Source organism: Homo sapiens, chromosome 15 (genome assembly GCF_000001405.40).
Source record: "Homo sapiens chromosome 15, GRCh38.p14 Primary Assembly".
NCBI lineage: Eukaryota > Metazoa > Chordata > Mammalia > Primates > Hominidae > Homo > Homo sapiens.
The window spans coordinates 99262223-99283170 of NC_000015.10; the positions used below are offsets into that span (position 1 = coordinate 99262223).

General features: G+C 38.7%; 1 protein-coding gene across 24 annotated transcripts in view; it reads left to right on the plus strand.

The window, feature by feature from the left end:
* Window positions 1-20948, plus strand: part of LRRC28 (leucine rich repeat containing 28) — a 139249-nt gene that overhangs the window by 10742 nt on the left and 107559 nt on the right. For 18 of the 24 annotated variants that reach the window (NR_135757.2, NR_135753.2, NR_135754.2 and 15 more), the window contains one exon: window positions 14354-14394. The exons of the other annotated variants lie outside the window; for them this stretch is intronic. Coding sequence is in view for 14 of the 18 variants with exons in the window: in NM_001321675.2 (NP_001308604.1) it covers window positions 14354-14394 (41 nt within the window). In the remaining 4 variants the exon portion in view is untranslated. Of the gene's footprint in view, window positions 1-14353; window positions 14395-20948 lie in introns of those variants that run through there. 24 annotated transcript variants of the gene reach the window in all.

Here is a 20948-nt window from a genome sequence, read left to right on the forward strand (position 1 = left end):
TTTATATTTAGGATAGCCTAAAAAGTAGGATTGCTGGTCTAAAGGGTAGACATGTTTCATAATTCAGAATACTTTTAGGCCAGGCATGGTGGCTCATGCCTGTAATCCCAGCATTTTGGGAGGCCAAGGTGGGCAGATCACTTGAAGCTAGGAGTTTGAGACCAGGCTGGCCAACATGATGAAACCCCATCTCTACCAAAAATACAAAAATTAGCTAGGCATGGTGGTGCGCGTCTGTAGTCCCAGCTACTCGGGAGGCTGAGGCAGGAGAATCACTTGAACCTGCAAGGTGGAGGTTGCAGTGAGCTGCAATTGTGCCACTGCACGCCAGCCTGGACAACAGAGTGAGACTCGGTCTCAAAAAAAATTTTTTTAAAGCAATATTTGATTATCATTTATTTGTATAGCTGAGAAACCTTAAAACTTTTTGTTTTGTTTTGAGTCAGGGTCTTTCTGTGTTGCCCAGGTTGGAGTACAGTGGCATGATCCTGGCTCACTGCAGCCGTGACCTCCTGAGTTCAAGTGAGCCTCCTGCCTCAGCTTCCTGAGCAGCTGGGACTACAAGCACACACCACCACACCATACCCAGCTGAGTTTTACAACTTTTTATAGAGATGGGGTCTTGCTGTGTTGCCCAGGCTGGTCTCAAACTCCTGGGCTCAAGTGATACTCCTGCCTTAGCCTCCCAAAGTGCTGAGATTACGGTGAGCCACTGTGCCTGGCCAGAACTTTCTTTTTAAACATAAGCTAGTTTGTATTGAAATCTAGTTATATAACTGATAGGTGAAAAAGAAGTAGTTGTGGGGGCCGGGTGCAGTGGCTCATGCCTATAATCCTAGCACTTTGGGATGCTGAGGCAGGCGGATCACTTGAGCTCAGGAGTTCAAGACCAGCCTGGGCAACATCACAAAATGCTGTCTTATAAAAAATACAAAAAAAAAAAAAAATAGCTGGTTGTGGTGGCGTGTGCCTGTAGTCCCAGCTACTTGGGGGGTCTGAGATGGGAGGATTGCTTGAGCCCAGGAGGTTGAAGCTGCAGTGAGCCAACATCACGCCACTCCACGCCAGCCTGGGTGACAAAGTGAGACCCTGTCTCAAAAAAAAAAAAAAAAAAAGAAGTAGTTAAGAAACATGATTTTGCTTCCTATCATTTACCTTAGAAAATGTTTTAAATACTTTTTCCATAATTATTTTAAATGCAATTTAGGAATTAAGTCTGATCTTTGTGATCGTTTTAAGATAAATAGATATTAGAAGTAATATAGGGTCTGGGTTTGTCACATGATAGGTATTCATGCAGTGGTAGAATTAAATAAATGAATATAAAGTAGAATTGCATAAGGACCATATTATAAGAGTTCCAGACTGAGAGCTTTCAAGAGCAGGAACTGTGTCTTGCGTTCTGTACCTTCACTGCCTGGCTTACTGCTTAACATGTGTAGTACACGTAATTTCATTCTATGTAGCAGCATTGTAGAATGTTTTAAAAATAAGATCCTATTTGTATGACACCGAAGACTGACTTTGACAGGCACTTAGGAGGAAGAGCATCATTCAATCAGTGTGTATTTGTTGAGTACTTAACTGTGTACCCATCACTCTTCAAGACACTGACAATAGATACATCATGGAACAGCTGCTGCTTCTTATGGAATTTTCATTTGTTGGAATTTCAAGTTTAAGGAAAAAAAATGAACTAAGACTCAATGGCATAACGTTCGAGGGACAAGTCTACAAAGCTGTTCTGCTTGCCTTGAGCAGTGGTTTTATAGGTTCTGTTGGAAGTAAGAGCTCAGGGCCACAAAGAAAATGAACACTCAAAAAGTTTCTCAGCAAGGCCAGTTTTCTTCTGCAGAAGGGTGCTGCTCATAGGCCTAGCCACCATGAGAACACACAGAACAAAGGAGAACAACACAGATTCTGTGTCTGTGTCTTTCCCCCATTAGCTGGGGTTGGACCACACAATCTAAACTAGTCCTGATTGGCTAAACATTTAAACTTTCTTAGACAAGGTAGGCGCATGATAGAGGAGAGAGGGAGAGGAGGAAGTGGTCACCTGCAGGCGACTAGAAAGCTAACCTATTTCTACATAAGGAAAGGAATGTGGAACAGGGCTGTGGCATGTCTAGGCATATTTAGACACGTTAAGGCTCAGCAAAAGCGGGGAGTGGGGGGTGGAACTTGGAACTAGAGAATAAAGAAGAGGGGAACTGGACAAGCTGTTTGAAGAGGAACCTAGCTGTATCTAACAGTTCCACAGAACCTTAGGTTTACTGAGCAATGCTGAGGTGGGGACCGAGCAATAGTGTATCTCCACTTCAGCGGGAGCAGCTCTTCTTTTGTTTGAGTATTGATGTTCTCTATGCAAACCCCCACATAGATGGGATATGCAGAGAGGACCTCTAGTAAACAGATGGGTAGATAGGTTTTGAAGTTTGGCTGTGATATGGGATGGGCATAGTGGGAGGGGATTTGACAGCAAAGGAGATTTTTCTTCTATTCTTCCCTTTTCTTTTCTTTTCCCTTTCCTTTTCCCCCCTCTCTTCTCTTTTCTAAGAGGACAGAGTAAATGCTGATAGGAAATTCCCATTAGAGAGGAGTTGAACCTCTGGAAAAAGGGAATAATGAAAAGTCCAAGTTTCCTAAGAATGGGCTCCAGAGTACACATGGAAGGATTGACCTTAGGAATATATCCTTTCCTCCTTTGTAAAAGTAAAGAAAGGGAGAACAGGTGGAAAGACAGATGTGCACTGAGGGAGAGAGAGGCAGTTGAGAGAGTTTTTGTCTGATGCTTTTACCAGGTCAGACCATCTGCTTGGGAATGAACATTTGGGGAGAGGGCAGGTTTGAAGACTCACATGGCAGTTTGGCTAGAGAAAGATAGAATTGTTGGGTGTTATTTAGCAAGCAGTTGGTGACTAAGCTTATGGTGGAACCTTCTGCTCGTTTAGGGAACTTTCTCTTGCTGTACTCAGCTGTCTGAGGGATGGAGAAGGTAGACTGTGGCATTCATACAGATTTAGGTTTTTGCCAGGTGGATGCAGTACAAGTAGAGAGAGACTAAGGAGGTTTAGGATTTGGCCAAGAGAGTGATATAACATGAAATCTGAGTTGGATTGGAGGCAAATAAAGGAAGAGTGAATACGGAGAATGGAGGTGGGCCAAAGTACCCATTGATGTTGACGAACTGCTGTATTGGGCACGACTGAGTAAGCCATCTGGGGTATGGGACATTTTGGTGGCAGAGAAAGACTGTGGTCATGGAGAAGTTTCTGATGATGACACGGTCTTAGTGTGCAGGGTGGAGGGGGCTGAGGTAGAGCCTTACAACCTTCCCTGCATCGGTCCCTGTGGTCTTTGTAAGAAGGAGAAGGAATATAGCGTGGAAGCAACAATCACTAGTCCTTTCTAAAACTCTAAAGTTCCTCAAGGGAGGAAATTAGTAGTGGGAGCATTTCAGGGCTGCAGTCCCAGGAAGCGGGTGTTTCATGGTTTGGTAGCAAAACTCAGGACTGAGAGGTAAGAGAGGTAAGAGATCAAAGTCCTATGGCTTAACCTCTTTGGACCTCAGTTCCTTTATTTACAAGAAAAAAGGCCACAAGAGACTTGGAGGAAAACATAAAATCTCAACCTGGAAGCAAAATCACTTAATGAATCTGTCAACTGCTTTTCTTAATGGTAACAGTTGGCCTTCCTGAGGAAATGAAAGAGTAACTTGCCCAAATACTGATAGAGCTCTCACTACTTGCTAATTTTATTTTATAAATATGAATGGACAAAAAAGAGGTATCCAAATTTTAATGAAAGAGGGGAGTTTGGCTTATAGCTAAGCAACAGGAGCAGATGGATCCTGATTAAGCAGTTAATCTATGCAACAAGAGATAATTTAACTTAAAAATTATATTCCACTTAGTGAAGGAAAGAGAGATCTGTCAATCATGTTCCTGAATTGGGCTGGGAAATGAGGCACAGATGTTCTTTCTTTCCTGTTAGCCCAGGAGAAAAACATTCCTGACTTTCTGCTTCAAATATGAACAGGCAAATGAAAAAAGAATACAGATAGCAAAAACACGTAAAAAGATGTTCAACTTTTAGAAGAAGTGATAAAACACTAATTTTTACCTATCAGATTGGCAAAGATGAACACCTAGCCAGGCATCGAGGCATACCAGCTACTTGGCTGAGATGAGAGGATCATGTGAGCCCAGGAGTTTGAGACCAGCCTGGGCAACATAGTGAGACCTTGTCTAAAAAAAAAAAAATTAACACCTAGTGTTAAGGATAATTAATACCCAGTGTTGGAGACAGTTAGGAGAAGATACTGTCACATACTCCTAATGGAAATTAATGTTTTTGTTGAGTTGTTGGGCCATATCTAGCAAAACTACATGGATATGTGTTTGAATCGGCATTTTCACTTGCAAGAATCTACCCAATAGAAAAGTCTGGTGAACAAGAGTGTTTATCACAAAATTGAATATGATGAAAAATTGTTAAAACCTCGATATTCATCAATAATGGATTTGTTAAAATATGATAGCAGCTAGCACTGTTTGAGTCTTTACCAAGTGCTCAAACAGTTTTACGCAAATGACATGTATTATTTAATCCTCAGGACAATCCTGTGATGTAGGCACTATTATGATCCTTATTTTATAGACAAATAAACTAAGTCATAAAATGTACATCAAACTGAATAATGATTAAAGTTGGAGATGGATGGAGAGTATGAGGGTAGGGGTGGAGGCTGAAAGAAACAGCCTTACTTAAGTGTTTATAGGACAAGGGAAAACTCTACTAGTAAGTTTGGTTTATATTACTTTCAGTAAATATTTATTTTTATAATTTGGAGTCAGTTAAAATAAGATGGTTAGAATATAGTGCCACTAAGTTTTTATCAAGCTTTCTAATCAGCTAGTCTAAATATTTTGATTTACAGCGATGCATATGTTTATGCCATATTGACATAGATGACTCTCTTAGCCGGTGGTTAGGTGAGGGTGAGAGAGGTTGATGGCTAGGAAAGTCACACAACTATATCCGCCACCCCCTCCTTGAATTTGGTAGTAGTAGGATCTGGATCAAATAAGGATCAGAACACCCTGAGGGGAAAAACAGTAAGTTAAGGAGATGGCCTAAAAGAGCATCATACAGCCAAGTGCGGTAGGAGAAACCGGGAGCGGGAATTAAGTTTTGTTATTAGTTTGGTTCATTTTGAATTCCAGAGCAAGGACTTCTTGTTTTTCTCCAGTCTGTTGGATCCTTGCAGCTTGAACTGCTGCTAGGGTGCAGGGCCTCCATAATCGCCATGATTGCACTGTTCTTGAGCTAGCTCTGTATAAAAGCATCTCTGTTTCTTAAATTGACTATGTGGAAATATGTGAGTATATCAAATAGTAAAGCATTCTAATGGTCCGTTAGTGTTTTAGTGTTTGTAAGTAAATGTGGTACAGTTCTGGAAAACAGCCATTGCACATTTATCCTGTCTTCATAATACACATGTGCCTGAAAATTAAGTTTTGTTACAACAGCTTCTTTTCCTGTTGAATTTTCAGATTTAGAAGCTTTTCTGTCATTGTTACTGATTCCTTGTCAGTAATGTGAAACGGTGATTCCTTGTCAAATAATTAAGAAACTCAAGCCTCTCACATGTCATAATGACTTTCATTTTTCAGGAAAATGAACGTCTGTTCCATAACTTAACTCTATTTATGGAGTCATAGGATTTTAAAGCTAGAAGCTTTATTTATAATTTAGACAATTTTTCTTTTTGAGGAAACTAAGAAGAGGATAATGGCTGGTTCTAAAGTCACTTTTCAGTGCAAAAATAAGGTCTCCTAATTTGTGGTCCAGTTAGTTTTGCTTCATTTTAATTCTGTAGATATTTATTGATAACCTCTTCCTAGCCTAGCACCACCATGTCGTTAAAATTTAACCACGTTTATCGACTGTGGAGAAATGAAGTGCTGCATGTTAAGTGAATTTTCCCAGTTAATTTTTGTAAAGTCTGTGTCTGAGTTTTCCTGTGAATAAAAGTCTAGCTTAATAGAAATATTTTTAAACATGTATCATTCTTTGCTTTTTAAATGAAATGTAGGGAACCTGACTTAGCATATACCCTGTAATTTGTAGTTTCTGCCTAGGGAGTTAGGAGGGGGACAGTTTAGAAAGAGGTGGCAGGGCTAGGGGTCTTTTCTTAGAACAGACCATTATCTTGTGTACTCGAAGGGTGTTATTTGCAAGCAAAAGACTCAAAACCATTGGTGTATGTATGTTTCCACAAGTTTAAATTCATTTTTCAGGCATTCACTTTAATGAGGCACCTGTGTACTGGAAGTGAGACACCAGTGCCTAACTGTTAGTCCCATCGAATCAGTCAACAAATACATACGTTATGTAAGTAAGGCACTTGTACACGGATCTTGGAACATGCTCCCCACCCCACCCCCGCAAAACCAAACAGTTATGTCATAAACTTACAGAATTGTTCAAGCTAGGTGTAATCTTAAATCATTGATCTGGCTTAATGGGAATGTGTTTGGTATTCTATTTTTGTGTGTATTTTTATATTGCTTTGAAAATTGCATTTATAAAATCATACTTATGGCATGTTTATTAAATAGGTTTTTTTAAAAATAAAAAGCTGGAGAAGACACTTGATGCTTGTAACCTCCAACCCTTGTTTCCGACATTTACATAACTTAAAGTTTTAACAAATATTAAGATAAACACTTCAAGAGGCATTTCAGCAATTTTTAATGCCTGTTTTTTCTTTTGAAAAATCTTTTCTTGGCAATCAAATTTCTATCAAATTCAGAAACATTGTATTTTTGTAAATGTACTGGATGTATAGTTTTTTTTATTTTGAGCTCATTCTGTAAGTTTTTGCTAAGTTAAAAATATCAGTCTTGATGTTTGTTTTACATTTTTTGCCAGAAAACATTTGTAGATTTGAAGATACTTAAAATATTTTCATTTACATTTCTTAAGATGACAATTTTAATTTCTACAAATGCTAAGCAAATACTTTCATTTATTTCTAAGAAAAATAATCTAAAACATTTATCATTCTTACAGTTAAGTAGTTATTCTTCATGTTTTACATTTGAAAGAGCTGAGTTTAAGTGAAAAATCAGTAGTGAATATGAAGGTATGAATTCTGCACACTTTACCAGCCACATGTGCTGTTAACTTTTTTTTTTTTTGGAGACAGAGTTTTCACCCAGGCTGGAGTGCAGTGGCACGAACTCAGCTTACTGCAACCTCTGCCTCTCAGGTTCAAGTGATTCTCCTGCCTCATCCTCCCGAGTAGCTGGGATTACAGGCACCCGCCATCACGCCCAGCTAATTTTTGTGTTTTTAGTAGAGACGGGTTTCACCATGTTGGCCGGGCTGGTCTTGAATTCCTGACCTCAGGTAATCCACCTCCCTCAGCCTCCCAAAGTGTTAGGATTACAGGTGTGAGCTACCATGCCTGGCCTTAACATTTAAATTAAAGTAAAATAATATTAAAAATTCAGTTCCTCCATCACATAGCCACATTTTAAGTGCTTCATAGCCACATGTGGCTAGTGTCTGCCATATTGGACAACACAGATAATGTTTCCATCATGGCAGAGAGAGAAACAAAGGAAAATGAGTAATTATTATGAAGTGAGTCAAGAGACAAAGGTAATGGTAACTAGGACCCTGAAGGCATTTATGCTACTGGGGAAGAAGAAAGAATGCTGGTTCCTTCATTCTGTACCATTAGCCTGCTAGGGTTTCTGATTCCTCTGTTGATAAATATTGCTCTATGACATATATAAAAATGGAGGGAAATACTGGAGAAGGAATGGACAAGTTGAAAAGAGGTCTACCACAGTTTTAAAAAATCTGGACACGTGGTATTTAACTCATGTCGTGTACCTGCTCAGAAGCAATGACATCAACTTATTGATTCAACTAAAAAGCTTGTTAAGTGTGTTGTGGTAGTTTGTGAATGAAGTACTTTTTATTCCTTCAGTGCCAAGACTTCATTAGCTTTTTAAAAACGAAAACGAATTTATTGGGGTGAAACTGACATAACATAAAATTAATCCTATTGAAATGACAATAGGATTCAGTACATTCACCGTGGATGCAGCCACCTCTGTCTAGTTCCAAACATTTCGTTCACTCCAGAGTAAAACCCCTCACCCATTAAGCAGTTCCTCCCCATTGCCCCGCCCCCACCCTCAGCTCCCACACCCAGCCCTGGTAACCAGCAATCTGTTTTCTCTCTGGGTTAACTCTAGATATTTTATATAAATGGGATCACAAAATATGAAACTTTGTGTATCTGGCTTCTTTCACTTAGCAAAATGTTTCCAAGGTTTATCCAAGTTTTAGCATATATCAGTACTTCTTTTTTTGTGTGTGATTCCGTAGGGATTCCATTGTATGGCTATACCACCATTTGTTTACCCATTCATCTACTGATGGACATTTGGGCTATTTCCACTTTTTAGCTATTGTGAATAGTGCTGCTATGAACATGAATGGACATGTTGAAGGACCTGTTTTCAGTTCTTTTGGGTATATAAATAAGAGCGGAATTACAGGGTCATACGGTAATTTTATGCTTAACTTTTGAGGAGCCACCAAAAAGTGGCTGAGCCATTTTACATTACCGCCAGCAGTGCACAATGGTTCCAGTTTCTCCACATTCTTGCCAACACTTGTTACTTTTCTTTTTTTGTTAGTGTTACAGCTGTCATAGTGGGTATGAAGTGTCACCTTATTGTAGTTTTGATTTGCATTTCCCTAATGCTAATGATGTTGAGCATCTCTACATGTGCTTGTTGGTCATTTGCATATCTTCTTGGGAGAAATGTCTGTTCAGATCCTTTGCCCATTTTTTAATTGAGTTGTTGTTTTGTGGTTGAATTGTAAGGGTTCTTTTTATAGTCTGGATGCTAGACCTTTGCCAGATATATGATTTGTAAGTATTTTCTCCCATTCTGTAGGTTGTGTTTTTTATTTTCTTGTAGTGGCCTGTAATACACACAAGTTTTTACATTTTGATGACATCCAGTGTATCTATTTTTTTTTTTTTGAGATGAGTCTCATTCTATTGCCAGGCTGGAGTGCAGTGGCACCATCTTGGCTCACTGCAACCTCTGCCTCCTGGGTTCAAGCGATTCTCCTGCCTCAGCCTCCCAAATAGCTAGGACTACAGGTGTGTGCCACCATGCCCAGCTAATGTTTATATTTTTAGTAGACATGGGGTTTCACCATGTTGGCCAGGATGGTCTCCATCCCTTGACCTCATGATCCACTTGCCTCAGCCTCTCAAAGTGCTGGAATTACAGGCGTGAGCCACCGCATCCAGCCCTATTTTTCTTTTATTTATTTATTTATATATTTATTTAGAGATGGAGTCTCACTCTGTTGCCCAAGCTGGAGTACAGTGGCGTGATCTCAGCTCACTGCAACCTCCCCCTCCTGGGTTCAAGGGATTCTCTTGCCTCAGCCTCCAGAGTAGCTGGTACTATAGGCGCATGCCACCACGCCCGGCTAATTTTTTTGTATTTTTAGTAGAGATGAGGTTTGACCATGTTGGTCGGGCTGGTCTCGAACTCTTGACTTCAAATGATCCACCCACTTTGGCCTCCCAAAATGTTGAGATTACAGGCTTGAGCCACTGCACCTGGCCAGTGTATCTATTTTTCTGTTGCTGCTCATGCTTTTGATGTAATAGCTATGAATTCATTGCCAAATCTAAGATTATGGAGATTTACTCCTATGTTTTCTTCTATGAAGTGTGGTTTTAGCTCTTAAATTTAAGTTGTTGATCCATTTTGAGTTAATTTTTGTATATGGTATGAGATAGTGGTCCAAATTCATTCTGCTTTCTTCTGCTTTTTATAGCTTGTATAACAACCCAAATGCATTTAATCTGTGACTTCTTTGAAATGTGTTGTTAGAAGCCAGGATGGAGCAGGTTTTGCCAAACCCTGAGTCCTAGTGGCTTGTAACAGCACACATATTTCTTGTCTACACTGTACTAGTCTCTCAGAGCCTGGAGCCTCTGCCCAGGAATGAAGCTGACAAAACGTCCACCGTCTGGTGGTCACTGTGGAAGGGGTGAGGTCTTTTGCACTCAATCTTGTCAAGGCTTCCTCTTTGGCTTAATTTCACTGACCAAGCTAGTCACTTAGCCATGGCCAGCTTGATGAAAGATGTGCAGTCCTAGCAGGTGTTCGGAAAGAGAAGGAAAGAAAGTAGGTAATGCACAGTGCCCACCAGAAAATACTATTGAACATGGTGGTGTTTGCAAAATATTTGACGTATTTGTTCCAAGTTAAAAAATTTTAAAACATTCCCATTTAAGTGGAGTCTAAAAGAATATGGTAAAGCATCATTGATTCAGAATTTGGGGTAAGTTTTATACTAACTGTGCTTGCTGAAGTTTACTTTTTCATTATTGTAAAGAAAAGTTGTTTAGCTAGATAATAATGTAAATGAGATTTAATGAAGAGAATCCTTGGCTTGATTTAGAGAAACAATTTCTAGGTAATTTAGTAGGAGGTATCTGAGTACATGTTATGTTTATCTGATAAACTTTTCTGTTTCAAATTGTGAAAAAAGAAGGTAATAATAGATTTGAGAAGCACTTTAAGACTATTGCTTTTATCAGGATTTTAAATTTAAAAACATTAAAAAACTTCATAGCTTGTAAATCCTATGGATTAGGATACACTAGTTTGTGTGGCTTCTGTAATCCAACATTAGAGCTTAGTTACCCACAAAGTAACAAAAATTCTGACATTAATTTCTAGTTGTCTAGTCTCTTATATGCTGTACCTAAATTATAGAAGTGTAAAAATTAAAACGTATAACATTTCTCAGCTACATTGCTAAAAATATGGCATTAGAAAACAGAGAGTGATATTATGGAACACCAGTAGGTGTCAGTCACAGCCTGTGCAAGGGCTGATTACTTGCCAGGAGTTTTGGGCATCTATTCCTAAGTGTGTGGTGTGTTTTTTTTTGTTTGTTTTTGTTTTTTGAGATGGAGTCTCACTCTGTCACCCAGGCTGGAGTGCAGTGGCGCGATCTTGGCTCACTGCAAGCTCTGCCTCCCGGGTTCAGGCCATTTTCCTGCCTCAGCCTCCTGAGTAGCTGGGACTACAGGCACTCACCACCACGCCCGGCTAATTTTTTGTATTTTTTAGTAGAGACAGGGTTTCACCGTGTTAGACAGGATGGTCTTGATCTGCTGACCTCGTGATCTGCCCGCCTCGGCCTCCCAAAGTGCTGAGATTACAGGCGTGAGCCACCGTGCCCGGCCGTGTCTGTGTGTTTTAAGGCGTTATTCTAATGAACTGCAATTTTCTCAAAGTGAATGTGCTTATTTTTAAATAAAAACACAATGTATCTACTTGTTAATAAAGACATAGAGATGCTCTATTGGCAACAGAAGCATTATTTCAGTGCTTAATTGTGTGTAGAGCTACACCTCAAAAGAACTAACTAGTTTGTCATGGAAAGATTAGAATGCTATTTGATGGAGCCAAGTAGACATCCAGAAAGAATGACCGTGGAGTGTGTGAATTAGCCAGATATAGTATTGGTATTAGCAGATGAAACTAGGTGAAGGTCTAACAGTCAAACAGCATTTCTTTTTGGACAAATCTTTCCTTTTTATAGGAACAGCTATAATTAAGGCCCTCCACCCACTGGTTCCCTAGTTTTTCTAGGATGCTTTGTATGTATGCCCATAAACGGAAGCGTATATTCTCAAGGGAGATACTGATAATAAAAACAAAACATTCCAGGGATTTAGACGGATCCACAAGGAACATCTGAGAAATGACTAGTTATGATGGATCTTGTTGCATATATCAGTATAGAAATATGGGGCAAAAAGAATCACAGCTTTCAGCATTTGAAAATGAAATACAAATGGTACTGTCAAGAGTGAGTATTCAAAAATGCTTCCTTGACTTCATAACAATATTCATATTCAATGATACTTGGTTATCACAAAAGGGAAGGATATGTATATATAAGCAGTTTGTGATACTGTTGCTAAGTATTTAAATACATCAGTATGCCAGTATGACATTAATAATGACATTTTCTGGTTTAAAATAAACCAGTGATTTTCCATTGTGTTCAGGATTTTTTAAAAGCTAGTCCTTAGTATAAAATATAAGCCTTTAGTGTTCTGTTCCTTGCCATTCTCTGTAAAATCTCACATCTTCATACCTAATGGCCCAGACATACCAAACTAATGTCATTTGTCTTAGTGAGTGTTTAGATCTCAAATTGTATATAACTGATTAATCAATTGTATAACAGCTTATGCTGCACACAGCAGATCTTAAAATTCAATTTTAATTTTTTCAATTATAAAAGACACATGCTTATTTTTAAAAATTCAAGTTTATGAAAAATTTCTTGGTTATTTAAAATAGTCAACTTTCTAGTACCTAACACGTTAGTTTTTCTATTGACATGATTGTTTTTCTAACAGGATTTTTGAAAATGTAAGATTTCTTCGGGAGTGCTGTTATGTAGTTATAGCAGAATGGATTGTATTTGCAGTTTCCCAATTGTACTTGTTCTCTTTTGGCTTTTCATATGTTGCTTCTTGTGCTTAGAAAGCTATACAGAACTACTCTCCTCTCCATTCCATGTCATCCTCTTATAATTTATGTCTTTTGGAACTCGGGTCAGACCTAATGTCTTCTAAAAAGCCATTCCTGATTCATTATTATTGATACACAGTTTACCCTATAGTAGCTTGAATGTAAATGAAAAAAAAATTAGTTTTGACTCAGTGTGCTCCTTCAGCCTTTCGACTCTTTCTTTTCGTATGTGTAAATTTGAACCCCCTATGTGTGTGTGAGAGAAAGAGAGAGAGATATTATATGTATATATATGCCTATATACTTGTGTGTGTGCGTATGCAGACTGGCTTTCAGTTATTTACAGGAGGCTTTCTCCACTACCCAGTACCTCCAGCAGAGAGAAGCCTGCTTTCAACCTGTGAGTAGACTTTTGTTCTAGGATTCTTTTCATGGAAAGGCCAGCCCTTTCAGGGCTCTGACTTCTTCTGGGTAAAGGACCTAGGTTTGTCTGCCTTTCTTTCTCCTGCCAATGGCCAATTTCCTGGCCCTCTACTCTGATGTCTGGACCTGTGGCCAGGTCTGACACTCCCTTGGACCACATGAGCTCCAGCTTCCCCTGTTCATTTGGAGCTTAGTCAGGTCTTGTACCTGGGGGCCCTGCAGATTTCCCTTACTTTCTCTCGAGGAGCATGATTTGGGAATTTGGAGGATATATTAGTTTTTCAGGGCTGCCGTGACAAATTATCAAAAACTGGGTAACTTAAAACAACAAAAATGTATTCTCTGACAGTTCTTGAGGCAGGGAGTCCACAATCAAGGTGTGATTTGGATTGGTTCCTTCTCAGGGCTCTGAGGGAGCACATGCTCCTTGAGTTTCTCCTTGCTGGGAGTGGCCGGCAACCTTCGGTGTTCCTCAGCTTCCAGTTACATCACTCCAGTTTCTGGTTCTTCCCTCTCTCTGTGTCTGTGAAGCACATTTTTATTTCTTCCATGACCATGGATTATGAGGTTTGTGGTTTCTCTAAGGCAGGGGTCCCCAATCCCTGGGCCACAGACCTGGTACCTGTTAGGAACGGGGCCGCACAGCAGGAGGTGAGTGGCAGGCAAGCAAGCGAAGCTTCATCTGTATTTATAGCCACTCCCTGTGGCTTGCATTACCGCTTGAATGCCACCTCCTGTCCCATCAGCAGCAGCATTAGATTCTCATAGCACAAACCCTATTGTGAACTGCACATGTGAGTGATCTAGTTTGTGCACTTGTTATGAGAATCTAGTGCCTGACGATCTGTCACAGTCTCCCGTCACCCCCAGATGGGACCATCTAGTTGCAGGAAAACAAGCTCAGGGTTCCCACTGATTCTTCATTATGGTGAGTTGTATAATTATTTCATTATGTATTACAATGTAATAATAATAGAAATAAAGTGCAAAATAAATGTAATGCGCTTGAATCATCCCCAAACCACCCCCACAACCTTGTCTGTGGAAAATTTGTCTTCCATGAAACCAGTCCCTGGAGGCAAAAATGTTGGGGACCGCTGCTCTAAGGGACATTGTTTTTTAATGTTTGAATTTATAAATTTAAATTGTAGTATGGTCTCTGTAAGAATAAAACCCAGACCTGCTGATTAATTATTTTCACATTTTCTCAAAATTTACACCCCTCAAAAAGGTAGTACTTTGTATTTAAACAAATTAGAAATGTTTAGACATTTTTCAAAAATAAAATTTAATTCTGAGTTTTTAATTTTCAGCCAGAAAACCTTGCTCAGAAGCTTCCAAACCTTGTGGAACTGTGAGTCTGTTTATTCAAATTTTTTAAAGACAAGAATGAAAATAATTCTAAGTTGTTTGAAATAATAGGATATGTCATCTTAATGTATTAATTTGTTATTTTTTGGTATCATGATCATGGTACTCATGTAGGTAGACCTGTGGTTCTACTAAACCCAATAGTATTTCAAAGTATTTAACCATTTAAAATTGTATTTTAAATATTTCACTTCAAGGTAGTGAAGATGATGAGAAATGCCTTTTCTCTGGGTATAGTGTCTTCTGTCACAGAATCTTTCTGGATAGTCCATGTAATTGGGAAAATCTATTATTGTTATTACTACTACTACATGTGATACTTGATATAAACAGGTCGTATAAAATGTTTAAAATGTACAGTAAAAGTCTCTTTTCCTGCATCCTCCACGCTTCATTTGTTTTAGTTCTTTTTATGATTACCTTCAAATGCTAAATACTATGTTTACACCTTTGTTTTTTTAATGCACCAGTGTTAATTATCTGTTAACTTACCACTAAGGAAGACAAATTTAGATATCTTATATTTCTCTCTCTCCTTAGCTACCTCTTAATTTTTGCAGGAGGGTTTGCATTGCTATTTCTTGTACTCTTTGTTATTTGGCACGATTTTCAAGAGGTCAAGGAAGGAAAGCTAGCCTTATACTCCCATCTTTTCTGTCATTTCCTTTGTCCCATCCTTTCATTTTGAAAAAAATTTCAAACTAATAAGAAAGTTGAAAACATAGAAAGAACACCCGTAAACCCTTCACCTAAATTTAACCAATTTTGACATTTTGCAACATTTGCTTTCTCTTTCCCTTTTCTACCTGTCTCCTACCCCTCTGCCCCCTCCCCCAAGCTGAATGATTTGAAGGTAAATTACAGACATAATGTCATTATCACACCTAAGGAAAGTAATATTCAATATAATTTAATACACAGTTCATGTTTAAATTATGCAAGTTTTCAAAAATAATGTATTTTAAAAGTAGATGTCTGAATTTACTGTATTATTTGCTCTTGATTAGATTGATTTAAACATTTTTTGTGGTGTTTGACCCCAAAACTTGCTTTATCAAGTTTTTGCTTTCATCCTTTTGTATGTATGTATATGTGTATTTATTATTTTCTGAAGCTTTTGTGAGTTATGCACATCATGGCTTTTTCTTTGTCTCTAAATAAGTATGTATTTCTAGGAACAAAGATGTCTTTCCATCTTTTTAGTCTACTTTTGCATCCTTTAGGTACTTTATAGTTTTCTTTAAAATAGGTTTTGAAGATTTCTAAAGTCTGTTACTAAGTATTTAATCTTTTTTTACTATCGTAAATGAATTTTGTCATGTTATATCTTCTAACTGGTTGTATTTTGTATATATGAACAATATTGATTTTTGCGTGTTAACTTTATATCCTGGTATCTTGCTGAAATCTTTATTGTTTCAATTAGTTTTCATGATAGATTCTCTATAGAGTTTTCCAGGTATACTCTTATGTTGGAAAATACAGATAGTGTTACTTATTCTTTTCCAGCTGTTATCCCTTTAATTACTTTCTTTAGTCTTATTGCATTGGCTCGTTCCTCTAGACAATGTGAAAGTGTCCTGGAGAGAGTGGACATCCTTGTCTTCTTTCTTTTTTAAAAAAAAATTTTTTAAGACCGAATTTCACTCTTGTCACCCAGGCTGGAGTGCAGTGGCACAATCTTGGCTCACTGCAACCTCTGCCTCCCAGGTTCAAGCAATTCTCCTGCCTCAGCCTCCTAGTAGCTGGGATTACAGGCATCCGCCACCACGCCTGGCTAATTTTTGTATTTTTAGTAGAGACGGGGTTTCACCATCTTGGCCAGGCTGGCTTCAAACTCCTGACCTTGTGATCCACCTGCCTTGGCCTCCCAAAGTGCTGGGATTACAGGCGTGAGCCACTGCACCTGGTCCCTTGTCTTCTTTCTGATCTTGCTGGGAATGCCTCTAGGGTTTCCCCATTAAGAAAGATGCTGGCTTTACAGTTAAAGTGTCTGTAGTCTATTGTGTTAAGCAAATATTCACCTTTTTAATTATCTATTGCTGCTTAACAACTTACCCCCAAATGTAGTGATTTAAAAGAATAAACATTCAGTGTCTTGTATTTTCTGAGGCCCCAGAATCTGTGCCTGACTTAGCTGGGTGCCTTTGCCTCCAGGTCTCTTACGAAGCTGCAGTCAAGGTTGTTGGCCAGGACTGCAGTCTCATCTGAAGATTTAACTGAAGAAGGATCTTCCTCTATTCACGTGGTTGTTGTCAGGTTCAATTCCTTGTAGGCTGTTGAACTGAAGGACTCCATTTCTTGCTTGATGTTGGCTAGAGCACTTCCCTCATTTCCTTGCCATTTGGCCTTTCTGTAGGATAGTTCACAACATAGCAACTGTCTTCCATCAGAGCAAGCAAGCCAAAGAGCAAGAGAGAGTATACACTTTCCCACAATCCCTGGTAATCACTAATGTACTTTCCGTCTCTATGGATACACGTTTTTCTGGATGTTTTATATTAGTGGAATGAGACAATATGTGACCTTTTGTATCTGGCTGCATTAACATAGCATAATGTTTTCAAGGTTTATTCATGTTGTAGCAGGTATCAGAATTAATTCCTTTTTATGGCTGAATAATATTCCGTTGAATAGATACATGACTTTTTGTTTATCTGTTCATCAGTTGATAGACATTTGAGTGGTTTCCACATTTTGAAAGCTTTTCCTTTTACAGTTTGTGGTTTGTCAGTTGTTTGTTACAACTGTTTCAAGCAGCTGTGAAGTTAAACAATTGCCTGTAATTTGTTTCAGTTTACAGTGGTTTTTGCCCTGGGCAATCTGCTACTCAGACGGAATAAAGACAGCCTTGCAACTGGGTCTTCCAGGGAACCTTGAGACAAATCTTTGACAGTTCTCTGAGAAGGAAGCTTTGAAGGCACTCTAACGTGGTCCTACCCCCTTGCTACTGCTTTTCTCTTTGATTGTGAACTGTTGGTTTTTCAGGCTTCTGCAGAGCAGGAGAGTGGGGTTAGGACTAGAGCAAGCGAAAATACCATGAAGCCTACAACCCACGGTTCTTACTGACGCTCAGTCATTTTTTTCTTGGATAAATTCTCCCTGTATTATGGTAAGCCTTAGGTTCATTTCCAGAGTTCTCAACATGTAGCATTTGGACATTTCTGACAGTTTCTCATTGTTTTTATGGAAGAGAATTTTTGGAGGTTCTTACTCTACCACTGTTGCTCAAAATTTTTAGTTTTGTAAAAAACTGCCGGTTTACCAGATTAGCTGTTCCATTTTACATTTCCCCTGGCAATGTATGATTGTTCCAGCGTCCGCACATCTTACCAGCATTTGGTGTTGTCTTTGTTATTTTAGTCATTTGGATAGATATGTGGTTTTTATGACATTGGAATTTCCATTTGTATTTCTAGAATGACTAATGATATTGAACATCCTTTTGTATACTAATTTGTCATTGGCATCTTTTTTTGGTGAAATGCCTGTCCATGTCTATTGCTCATCTTCTGATTGTATTTTTTTTAATTTCTGAGTTTTAAGAGTTCTTTGTAAACTAGTTTTCTGTTCTATATGTTGTTTACAAATATTCTCTCCCAGTGTATAGCTTGTGTTTTCATCCTGTTTATGTTCTTTTGCAGAGCAAAAGTTTTACATTTTGATGAGGTCCAGTTTATCATTTTTTGCTTTGATGTGTCATGCTTTTGATGGCAAGTCTAAAAACTCTGTGTCTAGCCCTAGGTCCCAAAGACTCTCTCCTTTCCCCGCCCCCACCCCAAAGTCTTACAGTTTTTTATTGTACATTTATCACCTATATTTTTAAAATTTTTTTCTGGGATTAGAATTCTTAGTGACCATTTTTTTTGTTGTTGTTGTTATCAGCACGTTCATGATATTCATTATTCCCTGGCGTGCATAGTTTCTGAAGAAACATCTACAGTTGTTATATTTGTTCCTTTGTGTGTATGTGTCTTTTTCTCCCTTGGGCTACTTTGAAGGGTTTTCATTTTTTACACTAATTTTAAGGGTTTGATTTAGGTGTATCTTGTTGTAGTTTTCTTCTTTCTTACCTTTGAGGTTCATGGGGTTTCTTGGGGTTGTGTCTTAACAGTTTTTATCAAATTTGGAAAACTTTTGACATTGTTTTTTCAGATATTTATTTATATACCCTGTTCCTGGCCCCTGCTTGTGGAACTCTTACCTGTTTGTTAGACTGTTTAATACTGTCTCGTAGTCACTAAGACTTTTCATTTCCTTTTCAGACTTTTATTCCCTATGTGCTTCAGTTTGGACAAATTGTATGTTCTGTGTTAAAAGTCAGTAATATTTTCTTCTTCAGTGTCTAATGTACTATACTAATCCCACTCAGTGAAGTTTTCTCTTTGGTTACTGTATTTTTTTTTTTTTAAGGGACAGGGTCTTGCTCTGTCGCCCAGGCTGGAGTGCAGTGGCTCTATCCTAGCTCGTTGCAGCCTTGAACTCCTGGGCTCAAGGGATCCTCCCATCTCAGCCTCCCAAGTAGCTAGAAGTACAGGCATGCACCACCATGCCCAGCTAAATTTTAAATTTTTTCATAGACATGGGGATTTGCTGTGTTGCCCAGGCTGGCTTTCTGTGTGTGTTTTTGAGACAGGGTCTTACATTGTCACCCAGGAGTTACACTGGAGTGTTGTGATGCAATCATGGCTCACTGTAACATCAAACTCCTGGGCTCAAGTGATCCTCCTGCCTCAGCCTCCCAAAGCTCTGGGATTATGGGAGTGAGCCACTGTGCCCAGCCTGTTACTGTATTTATGATATTTGGAAGTTCTGTTTATTTTTCTTTATCTTACAGTTCTTATAATGTTCATATTTTCATTTAAATAGCTGAATATAGTTATTATAGCTATTTTAATGTCCTGTTTGCTAATTCTGTCATCTGTGTCATACTGGTTCTATTTGTACTGACTGATTTTTCTCCTGGTTATGGGTCATATTTTCCTGATTCTTGGCATGTCTAATACTTTTTGATTGGATGGACCTTATAAAGTTTGCATTTTTGAGAGTCTAAATTTTATTGTGTCCCTTTTTTCTGGCATGCAGCTATTTGCAGTTTACTTTGATCCTTTTATGGCTTATTTTTATACTTTGTTAGGATAGGTGGTTAGGTTAGCCCTATTACTAAAGCATGAGCTTTCCAGGATCTCTCTTGAATACCTCAAATGATCAACAAGGATTTGGCATACTTGCTCAGAACTTGAATGTCTCTCAACACTGTGAGCTTTGCAGGCTGTTCAGCTGATTGATTTTCAGGTGCTTTTTGCCTGGAGTACCTTTTATTTTTCTTCTATTATTTTTTGAGATGGGGGTCCCATTATATTGCTCAGGCTGGTCTTGAATTCTTGTCCTCAAGTGATCCTCCTGCTTCAGCCTCCCAAGTAGCTAGGGTTACAGGTATGACCCATGACCCACTGTATCCTGTTAGAGTTTTTCTTATGTGTGTTTGTTCTAGAATTCAGCTATGAGTGAGGCCAAGGGATTCCTTATGCAAATTTTTGGAGGTTTTTTTTTTTTTTGTAGCAGTAGCTCTCTCTTCTTCAGAACTTTACCCCACAACTTCCAGTTGCCTCAGGTTCCCTGAACTCTGATATGTGTCTCCATAACTCAGTAAGACTTCTGTACTTTGGGATTTCCTTCCTGTTCTACAGTCCAGAATTTGCCCCTAGGGTGAAAGCTAGGGAGATTGTGTGGCTTACTTCCTTTCTCTTAGGGAATGTAGTCCTAGTTGCCTTTGTTAATATCTGAAAATAATTGTTTCATGTACAGTCATGCACAGCATAATTATGTCAATGACAGGCCACATACATAATGGTGGTCTCATAAGATTATAATACTGTGTTTTTACTGTACCTTTTCTATGTTTACATATGTTTAGATACACAAATACATCGTGTATCAGTTGTCTGATTGTGTTACAGTTGTCTACAGTATTCAATACGATAACATACTGTCCAGATTTGTAGCCTAAGAGCAACTACACCTTGTAACCTAGGTGTGTGGTAGGCTATACCATCTAGGTTTGTGTAAGAACACCCTATGATGTTTGCATAACAAGGAAATCACCTAACGACACATTTCTTAGAACATATCCCAGTCATTAAGTGGCATGTGACTGTATTTCATCTGGTTTTCTTGTTGTTTAGAACAGTTGGGAAAATCCCATTTACTCCATTGTTGTTATTCATCCTGACTGAAAGTAGAAGTCCTGTTTCTTTAATTAAAAATTTTTTTTTTTGAGATGGAATTTCGCTCTTGTCGCTCAGGCTGGAGTCAGTGGCAACATCTCAGTGCACTGCAACCTCCGCCTCCTGGGTTCAAGAGATTCTTCTGCCTCAGCCTCCCAGGTAGCTGGGATTACAGGCATGTGCCACCATGCCCAGCTAATTTTTGTAGTTTTAGTAGAGACGAGGTTTCTCCATGTTGGTCAGGTTGGTCTCAAACTCCTCACCTAAGGTGATCCACCCACTTCGGCCTCCCAAAGTGCTGGGATTACAG